General features: G+C 44.2%; 3 annotated features.

Annotated features, from left to right (window-relative positions):
* Positions 221 to 779: an enhancer, noted in NCBI's record as "OCT4-NANOG-H3K27ac hESC enhancer chr16:59548564-59549122 (GRCh37/hg19 assembly coordinates)". NCBI's record gives its function as "activates a minimal SCP1, AML or CMV promoter by ChIP-STARR-seq in naive and primed H9 embryonic stem cells {active_cell/tissue: H9 hESC(naive and primed)}" and the evidence as "EXISTENCE:reporter gene assay evidence [ECO:0000049][PMID:30033119]".
* Positions 780 to 1,339: an enhancer, noted in NCBI's record as "OCT4-NANOG-H3K27ac hESC enhancer chr16:59549123-59549682 (GRCh37/hg19 assembly coordinates)". NCBI's record gives its function as "activates a minimal SCP1, AML or CMV promoter by ChIP-STARR-seq in naive and primed H9 embryonic stem cells {active_cell/tissue: H9 hESC(naive and primed)}" and the evidence as "EXISTENCE:reporter gene assay evidence [ECO:0000049][PMID:30033119]".
* Positions 8,123 to 8,636: an enhancer, noted in NCBI's record as "OCT4-NANOG hESC enhancer chr16:59556466-59556979 (GRCh37/hg19 assembly coordinates)". NCBI's record gives its function as "activates a minimal SCP1, AML or CMV promoter by ChIP-STARR-seq in naive H9 embryonic stem cells {active_cell/tissue: H9 hESC(naive)}" and the evidence as "EXISTENCE:reporter gene assay evidence [ECO:0000049][PMID:30033119]".

Below are 10,229 nucleotides of genomic sequence, written 5' to 3' on the forward strand. Positions count from 1 at the left end.
TGCACATAAAAGCTGCATTTTCAATATGAGATAAAAAGGTATTTTTCAAAAAGTGTAAAGATTTTGCACCTACTGGTGTAGCTGCAGTGACAGCTCTATACATTTTCTTCCTTTTTTACAATCATTCTTATGTTGAATTCATTAACCTTGAAATGACAGGCAGCTGCAGCTGCAGACTTCAATCTGTAGTGCGTATCAAGCAATTCAACTTTTTCTTGTAATGAAATGCCTTTACTTTTCTCTGCTTTTTGGGAGCCACTTCCAGCATCACTACTGACACTCCAAATGCATTCCATGGTGTTATCCAATTTATGGTATTGCAGTAAACATGATGAAAAATACACAAGAACCACAAGAGATTACTTTTTACTGTGATACACAATTTATTGCAGAGATGAACTAACTGCACATGTGGAGGTGATTAGCATCACATGACATTTTAAGAAGCTACTCACAAACTTGAGCTCACTTTCATGCACGTCCATGTGAAGAGACCAGCAGACAGGCTTTGTGTGAGCAATAAAGCTTTTAATCACCTGGGTGCAGGCGGGCTGAGTCTGAAAAGAGAGTCAGCGAAGGGAGATAGGGGTGGGGCCGTTTTTATAAGATTTGGGTAGGTAAAGGAAAATTACAGTCAAAGGGGGTTTGTTCCCTGGTGGGCAGGAGTGGGGGTTGCAAGGTGCTCAGTGGGGGAGCTTTTTGAGCCAGGATGAGCCAGGAAAAGGACTTTTACAAGGTAATGTCATCACTTAAGGCAAGGACCGGCCATTTTCACTTCTTTTGTGGTAGAATATCATCAGTTAAGGCAAGGACCGGCCATTTACACTTCTTTTGTGGTGGAATGTCATCAGTTAAGGTGGGGCAGGGCATATTCACTTCTTTTGTGATTCTTCAGTTACTTCAGGCCATCTGGGCGTATATGTGCAAGTCACAGGGGATGTGATGGCTTGGCTTGGGCTCAGAGGCCTGACATTCCTGCCTTCTTATATTAATAAGAAAAATAAAACAAAATAGTGTTGAAGTGTTGGGGCAGCGAAAATTTTTTGGGGGGGGTGGTATGGAGAGAGAATGGGCGATGTTTCTCAGGGCTGCTTCAAGCGGGATTAGGGGTGGCGTGAGAACCTAGAGTGGGAGAGATTAAGCTGAAGGGAGGTCTTGTGGTAAGGGGTGATATTGTGGGGTTGTTAGAAGAAATATTTGTCATATAGAATGATTGGTGATGGCCTGGATACAGTTTTGGATGAACTGAGAAACTAAATGGAAGATACAAGGTCCAAATAAAAGAAGGAGAAAAATGGGTATTAAAGGACTAAGAATTGGGAGGACCCAGGATATCCAATTAGAGAGTGCCCAAGGGGATTCAGCATAATTACTTGCTTGGTTGGCAAGTTTTTGGGCTCTATCCTTGAGTTTTTTTATGTTGTCATACACCAGGCCAGATTGATTTAGGTAAAAACAACACTCTTCATTTAAGAATATACAGAGTCCTCCTTTTTCAGCAGTGAGTAAGTCAAGACCTCGGCCGTTTTGGAGGACAACTGCAGCTAAAGAGTCAACTTGGGCCTGGAGGACTGATTAAGTTGTGATATGTCTGTGATACTAGCAGAGAAGTCATTAGACAGGCTACGGAAGGTCGTGACAGAGGTTGAAATGCCTGCTATCCCAGTACCTAGAGCAATAGTGGAGGCAGAAAGTCCTAAACCGACCATCAAGGGAATTAGTAGAATAACTCTTTTTTTGTCGTGTTGGTGTCATGAGGGGAACAGGGAGCTCTTCGGTCCCATTTGCAAATTGTATTTTAGGGGTAAGGAAAACTAGTGTGAATGTGCCTGTCCAATTAGCAGGTAGACACATGTAGGTAGAGGATCCACAGAGGAAGAAGAGACCTTGTGCGAGGCAAAACTGGAGATGTAAAGTAAAAAGGTGAGAAGGAGTGCTGAAAGGGGTGTCTTGTACCCAGACTCCTAGGGATCCAGCTAGGGCGGCAGCTGTCAGAGGTTGTAATGGGGACTGATGGGGTAACTGCATAGAGGAGGAGGTTCAGTTTTCATGGTGTATGAGAAAACGTTGAGTATCTACGAGCAACCTTTCACTGTTATTTTCGGGGCTCGGTATAAGTAAACAAGAAGAGGGCCTGGGAGGAGAGTCTGATGAGCAAGGGAAAGTAGTCAAGGATGGAGTGAAATACAGAGTAAGTGTCTTCCTAAACAATAATTACTGCTAATGTTTTTGAGTTTGTCAGTATTGATAGAGGGTTTGTCTGTAATGTGGAGCTGGAAGGCTCCAATTGTTTCAGTGATGTGTGTAGTTGGGCTTCGGAGATGAAGAGTAAAGGAACATCGAGAAGGTGAAAGATTGCCTAGGGGAATTCCAGTGGGTCTTTGCCGAGAGATACATAAAGGGGCAGCCAGAGGAATAGTAGTTTGTGTTGTGAGAGGTCCAAATATGGGGGGAGTAGAGTTAATATAAGGAGAAAGGTTTTTTAAATAAGTGCGGAGGAGGGCGGCAACTTGCTGATGTGAAAGGTCTGGGGAAGTCTTGCTGGACCTGTCTAGAAAGTAAATGAGTTCTTCAGGAGGGTAAAGGTGAGGGCTGTTAAAGGAGGTTCAGAGGTGTAAGGAGACAGGAGATGTTGCCCAGTCTGTCTGTAAGGTGGGGACAGCTGTGTAGGCACTGGAAGAAAGGGAAACGCAAAGCCAGCAGTTGTTCACTAAGGAGGGATTAGAAGCGGCTAGGAGAGAATGGGTAAGGTTGATAGTGTGGTGGAGATAGCTGGGGAGAGGTAAAGGGTGGCATAAGAATGGGAATGAGAATAAGAGTAAGTATAAAAGTAAAGAATAGAACTTCATCAGGGTGGAAGTATTGGAGGGTGCCCTGCCAGCAAAGATCATCTACCCACTCTAAGAGGGAATTAAGAGTGGCGGTTTGGGGATAGCACCAAGAGATATCAGCTGTGATGGCTTGAAGAAACAGTGTAAACCGGCAGTGTAAACAAGAGTAGGGCATTTGTAAGTAGTTGAGAACGGAGAATAGGAGTATGATTAGACAGAAAATAGTAGGGATGACAAGTTTTTTGGGGCTCGTCCTAAGTGGTGGGGGTGACTTCGTAAAGCCCTGTTGCAAAAAGTAGGGTAAGGACAAACAGACCTAAGAGAATGAAGGGATGTATTAGGCTCATAAGGGTTATTACTCTTCTTCAGAAATACGAGTGAGTTTAAGGGAAGTAGGGGAGAGTACTTGCGACTTCCAGGAGGAAGAGGAGGGATTAGGCTGGCTGTCCGATGGACAGAGCTTTATTCTGGAATGGTGAACCTAGTGGGGAGGACCCTGAAGGCAGACAGCAGTTGGGGTACTATAGATGACTAAGTAGGGTCCGGTCCATCGAGGTTGTAGAGTTTAAGGGGTCAGATTCTTAACAAGAACTGATCATCCAGCTAGGGTGTCTTCATATGGCTGGGGATCTGGAGTAAGCAAGAGAAGATTAGCAGTCTGGGGAATTTCCTGTCTAGCCTGTTGGAGGACTGGAAGATAGTCACCTAGAGGGCTGGTGTCTGTGAAGAGGTTGGGCCCAAGCAAGAAAGTGCGTCCATATAAAAGTTCAAATGGACTGTACCCTGTAGCATCTCGAGGACAGGCTCTAATTCTGAGAAGGGCAAGAGGTAAAAGTACTGTCCAGTCCTTTTTAAGTTGGAGGCTGAGCTTGGTGAGGTGTGTCTTTAAAAGACCATTAGTCCATTCTACCTTTCCTGAAGACTGAGGATGGTAAGCGATATGAAGGTTCCACTGAATACCAAGAGCCTGAGAAACTGCTTGGGTGATTTGACTAGTAAAGGCTGGCCCGTTATCAGACTGTATAGAGGTGGGAAGGCCAAACCGAGGAATTATGTCTGACAGAAGGGCAGAAATGACAGCGGTGGCCTTCTCAGACCCTGTGGGAAAGGCATCTACCCATCCAGTGAAAGTGTCTACCCAGACTAAGAGATATTTTAGTTTTCTGACTCAAGGCTTGTGAGTAAAGTCAATTTGCCAGTCCTGGGCGGGGGCAAATCCCTGAGCTTGATGTGTAGGAAAGGGAGGAGGCCTGAACAATCCCTGGGGGGTAGGTAGTAGAATAGCAGATGGAACACTGAGAAGTGATCTCCTTGAGGATAGATTTCCATGATGGAAAGGAAATGAGAGGTCCTAAGGGACGGGCTAGTGGCTTGTAACCTACATGGAAGAGGTTATGAAATGATGACAGAATAGAATGGGCCTGTGAGGCTGGAAGGAGATATTTTCCTTGGTCTAAGAACCATTTGCCTTGTGTGGGAAGAGATCGATAGGTGGAGGTTTCAACAGGGGAGTAGGTGGGAGTGACCGATGTGAAGGAGAAAAACTGGCTGTGAGGGACAGAAGTTGGAGAGCTAGTTGCTTGTCTAGCCACCTTATCAGCATAAGCATTGCTGTCAGAGGTAGAAGTTGGAAAGCTAGCTGCTTGTCTAGCCACCTTATCAGCATAAGCGTTGCTGTCAGAAACAGAAGTTGGAAAGCTAGCTGTTTGTCTAGCCACCTTATCAGCATAAGCGTTGCCTAGAGCAATGGGATCTGATGACTTTTGATGCCCCTTGCAGTGAATGACCCCAGCTTCCTTTGGAAGTAAAGCGGCCTTGAGCAGAGTTTTTATTAAAGAGGCATTAATGATGGAGGACCCTTGTGTAGTGAGGAAACCTCTTTCAGCCCATATGACCGCAGGGTGGTGCAGAATATGAAAGGCATATTTAGAATCAGTATAGATATTGACACGTAGTCCTTTTGCAAGAGTGAGGGCTTGAGTTAAGGCAACTAGTTCGGCTTGCTGAGAGGTAGTGGAGTGGGGCAGAGCGGTAGCCTCAAGGATAGATGTGGAAGATACTATAGCATAGCCTGCCTTTGCTGGTGAGTGGCGATTAGGCCTGGTGGAACTGCCATCAATAAATCAAGCGTGGTCAGGGTGAGGAACAGGAAAGAAGGAAATATGGGGAAATGGGGTGAATGTCAGGTGGATCAGAGAGATACAGTCATGGGGGTCAGGTGTGGTATCAGGAATAATGTGGGAGGCTGGATTGAAGTCCGGGCCAGGAACAATGGTAATTGTGGGACTTAACAAAGAGTGAGTACAGCTGAAGGAGCCGGGGAGCAGAAAGTATATGCATCAGGTATGAGGAAGAAAATAGATTTTGGAAGTTATGAGAAATGTAGAGAGTGAGTTGAGCATAGTTTGTGATTTTTAGGGCCTCTAAAAGTATTAAAGCAGCGGCAGCCGCTGCACGCAGACATGAGGGCTAGGCTAAAACAGTAAGGTTAAGTTATTTGGACAGAAAGGCTACATGGTGTGGTCCTGTCTCTTGTGTAAGAATTCTGACCGCACTAACCATGCCTAGGAAGGAAAGGAGTTGTTGTTTTGTAAGGGATTGAGGTTTGGGAGAATAATTGGACACGATCAGCAGGGAGAGCACGTGTGTTTTTATGAGAATTATGCTGAGATAGGTAACAGATGAGGATGAAATTTGGGCTCGACTGAAGTAATAGGGTCTGTCTGTGAAGCCTTGCGGCAGTACAGCCCAGGTAATTTGCTGAGCCTAATGGGTGTCAGGGTCAGTCTAAGTGAAAGCGAAGAGAGGCTGGGATGAAGGGTGCAAAGGAATAGTAAAGAAAGCATGTTTGAGATCCAGAACAGAATAATGGGTTGTAGAGGGAGGTATTGAGGATAGGAGAGGATACGGGTTTGGCACCATGGGGTGGATAGGCAAAACAATTTGGTTGATAAGGCGCAGATTCTGAACTAACCTGTAAGCCTTGTCTGGTTTTAGGACAGGTAAAATGGGGGAATGGTAAGGAGAGTTTATAGGCTTTAAAAGACCATGCTGTAGCAGGCGAGGGATAACAGGCTTTAATCTTTTTAAAGCGTGCTGTGGGATGGGATATTGGCATTGAGGGGGGTAAGGGTGATTAGGTTTTAATGAGATTGTAAGGGGTGCATGATCGGTCGCCAAGGAGGGAATAGAGGTATCTTATACTTGTGGGTTAAGGTGGGGGGGGATACGAGAGGGAGATGCGAAGGAGGCTTTGAACTGGGGAAAAGGTGGCAATGAGGTGTGGCTGTAGCCCAGGAATAGTCAGGGAAGCAGCTAATTTGGTTAAAATATCTCGGCCTAATAAGGGAACTGGGCAGGTGGGGATAAATAAAAAAGTGCATAAAGGAGTGTTGTCCAAGTTGGCACTAGAGTTGAGGAGTTTTCAGGGGTTTTGAAGCTTGGCCGTCGATACCCACAACAATTATCGGGGCGAGGAAAACAGGCCCTTGAAAAGAAGGTAACGTGGACTGGGTAGCCTCTGTATTGATTAAGAAGGGGACAGACTTACCCTCCACTGTGAGAGTTACTTAGAGCTCTCTGTCCTGTAGGCTTCCGAGGCAATCTGGCAGTGTCAGTCTTCAGCTGCTAAGCCGAGAAGATCTGGGAAGGAGTCAGTCAGAGAGCCTTGGGCCGGAGTTCCAGGGACTCTGGGAGTGGCTGCCAGGTGAGTTGAACAGTCCGATTTCCGGTGGGGTCCCGCACAGATGGGACACGGCTTAGGAGGAATCCCGGGCTGCGGGCATTCCTTGGCCTGGTGGCCAGATTTCTGGCACTTGTAGCAAGCTCCTGGGGAAGGTGGTTCTGGAGGAACTCCTGGCCACTGCGGTTTAGGCGTTTGGAAGTTCTTGTGTGCTGGAGATGTGGCTGGGGTTTGTCTCACAGTGGAGGCAAGGAATTGTAACTTTTTTCTATTATTGTACACCTTGAAGGCGAGGTTAATTAAATCCTGTCGTGGGGTTTGAGGGCCGGAATTTAATTTTTGGAGTTTTATTTAATGTCGAGAGCAGATTGGGTAATAAAATGTATATTGAGAATAAGACGGCCTTTTGACCTTTTAGGGTCTACGGCTGTAAAGCGTCTCAGGGTTGCTGCCGAACAAGCCATGAACAGGGCTGGGTTTTTTATATTTGATGAAAAAGAGTCTAAATGCTCACTGCTTTGGGAGAGGTCGGATAAAGAAAAAGGAGCATTAACCTTGACTATGCCTTTGGCTCCAGCCACCTTTTTAAGAGGAAATTGCTGGGCAGGTGGGGGAGGGCTAGGCGCGGAACGAAACTGTAAGCCGGACCAGGTGTGAGGAGGGGAGGTGATAAAAGGATTGTAGGGTGGAGGAGCAGAGGCTGAGGAAGAATTGGGACGTAGCTTGGCCTGGCGAGGAGCAGCCTGGGGAGGAGGGGAGAGGTCAGATGGATCTGTAGAAAAGAAAGAAAGACTCAGTGACGCTTGGGGTTGGGACTGAGGGGACAGGCGGGAGGGAAAGGAGGAAGATTTGGGACGAGTTGCTTTGGGCACAGAGACTAGGAAGGGACCGATGTGTAAAAGAATGCCTGGCCGTCAGGCAGCTCAGACCGTTTGCCTATTTTACGACAATAATTATTTAGATCTTGCAGGATGGAAAAATGGAAAGTGCCGTTTTCTGGCTATTTGGAACTACTGTTGAGTTTGTATTGGGTCAAGCGGCATTGCAGAAGAAAATAAGCATTTAGGTTTTAGGTCAGGTGGGAGTTGAAGAGGTTTTAAGTTTTTGAGAACACAGGCTAAGGGAGAAGAAGGAGGAATGGAGGGTGGAAGGTTGCCTATAGTGAAGGAGGCAAGTTTAAAGAAAAGGGAGAGTAGAGACATGGAGGGAAGCGGTTCAGGGGTTCCTACCCTCCAGAAAAGTGGGAAAGGGGTTGGGGCGCAGAGATACGAGGTCGGTGCACGGAAATAAGGGATCAGGGTGCAGAGATATGAGGTTGGGGCACGGAAATAAGGGATCGGGGCACAGAGATATAAGAGGTCGGGGTACGGAAATAAGGGATTGGGGCACAGAGATAAGAGGTCAGGGCGCGGAAATAAGGGATTGGGGCGCAGAGATATAAGGTGAGATGTTCCTTGGGCTGGTGGGTCTGAGGACCTGAGGTTGTAGGTGGATCTTTTTCAAGGAGCAAAGAGCAGGAGGACAGGGGATTGATCTCCCAAGGAAGGCCCCCCGATCCGAGTCACGGCACCAAATTTCATGTGCGTCCGTGTGAAGAGACCACCAAACAGGCTTTGCGTGAGCAATAAAGCTTTTAATCACCTGGGTGCAGGTGGGCTGAGTCTGAAAAGAGAGTCAGCGAAGGGAGATAGGGGTGGGGCCGTTTCTATAAGATTTGGGTAGGTAAAGGAAAATTACAGTCAAAGGGGGTTTGTTCTCTGGCGGGCAGGAGTGGGGGTCGCAAGGTGCTCAGTGGGGGAGCTTTTTGAGCCAGGAAAAGGACTTTCACAAGGTAATGTCATCACTTAAGGCAAGGACCGGCCATTTTCACTTCTTTTGTGGTGGAATGTCATCAAGTTGGGGCAGGGCATATTCACTTCTTTTGTGATTCTTCAGTTACTTCAGGCCATCTGGGCGTATATGTGCAAGTCACAGGGGATGTGATGGCTTGGCTTGGGCTCAGAGGCCTGACACTCACCACAATAGCAACAGGAGGCGTTGCTAGGAAACACCTCCTAGGAAATTATGACAGTAGACACTATGTACTCCAGTTAGTTTTATGAACTTATGGTTTAATGCTATATCTTTACATTTGTCTACTTTTCTCTCGACTGCCAATGTTGTTATGTATGGTCTGTTAAGTGTTGCTGTGCATATGTCTTGTTAAATTTTAACTTTTTTACAGTAGATTTGTATATATGTTATGGTAGCAAATAATAAAATAGACTAGAATACATATATTTTGTGCATTCATGACACATAACTTTTTCTTAATTTTTCAATATTTCTAGGCCATGTAGCTCATTTGTGAGTTTTTCCACAAATGCTCACCTCCAAAAAATTTTCTGATGTATTTATTGACAAAAAAATCCATGTATAAGTGGACACATGCAATTCAAACCCATGTTGTTCGAGGGGCAATTGTATATACATACATATATACGTGTGTATATGTATGTGTGTATGTGTTTGTGTATATACATATGTGTGTATGCATATACATGTGTGTATGTATATACATATGTGTGTGTAGATGCATCTCTACACACATGCATATATAGCAATATTTATTCCCACTAATTGCAAAGCAGCTCAGGTAATTTGACCTTATTTTTAAATCCTGTCACTTGATGAAGTGGTTTTCATATTGAGAAAAGTCCATGCTCCATAATAATGGCAATCTTATGCTCATAGCAGTTACCACTAGTTTATTTAATACTATGGATTTGAGATAATTTATATCATGTGTTGACAATAAAATTCTTCATATCTCTTTCTTCATGTCTCTAAGAAATAAGAAACGTATCTTAGCGAACTAGCTAAGAGACAGAATAAGGTATTTCTATGTCTCTAGAAAAATGTTTTTCTAGATCATTAATATTATATGTTAATGGCTCATCATTTTCATATACTCCCTGTTTTACTGAGCTCTGTGTAAAGTCTTCAAATTAGCATAGACACACTTACATCTCATTTATAAAAGACACCAAGTTTAAACTTCATCTCTGACTATGAGTTTGAGATCTTTGAAGATCAAAATAATAATATAAAATATCCTTTATATATTGTAAATTTATGCATGTTTATGTACATTTGTAAAATAATATAGTGCAAGTTGAAGAAACATACATGTAAAATATTATTTATCCAAGTTTGTGCTGTCCATGTTTTTAATAGGCTCAAACTGAACATTTTAGTTTACTTGTTTTATTTAATTTAGAAGACATACAAAGTTAGCTTCTTAGGATATTAAATCAAAATTATGCTTTGATTTATGTTTCTTATTTTGTGCCTATTAGCAAACGTCTCAGGAAAAAAAGTCCTTTTTAAACAAGGGCCTCAGAGTAAGGTTTTGGGAATAGTATTGAAAAGAGAAAAAAGCCAACAGTAATTTGAGAAGTATAGATCATTTTTTCATTCATTTAGCTTTTTCCCCCTATATCTCAGGTTTTCTTTTCCTTTACCTACCATGTTTTGTACATACTGGACCAGTGAAATACTACTAATGCATCAAAGCTTACTTCAAAAGCCAACTTATCCATCAACTCTTCTCTAATCCCTCATCAGCAAAAGGTAATTTTTCATGCTCATGCAGTCTCTTCATATTAGTGCCCCTACGGCACACCGCTATATACTTCATTGTGTATGTGTGTGTCTGTGTGTACCTGCACAGGTTT

This window comes from Homo sapiens, chromosome 16 (assembly GCF_000001405.40).
Source record: "Homo sapiens chromosome 16, GRCh38.p14 Primary Assembly".
Lineage (NCBI taxonomy): Eukaryota > Metazoa > Chordata > Mammalia > Primates > Hominidae > Homo > Homo sapiens.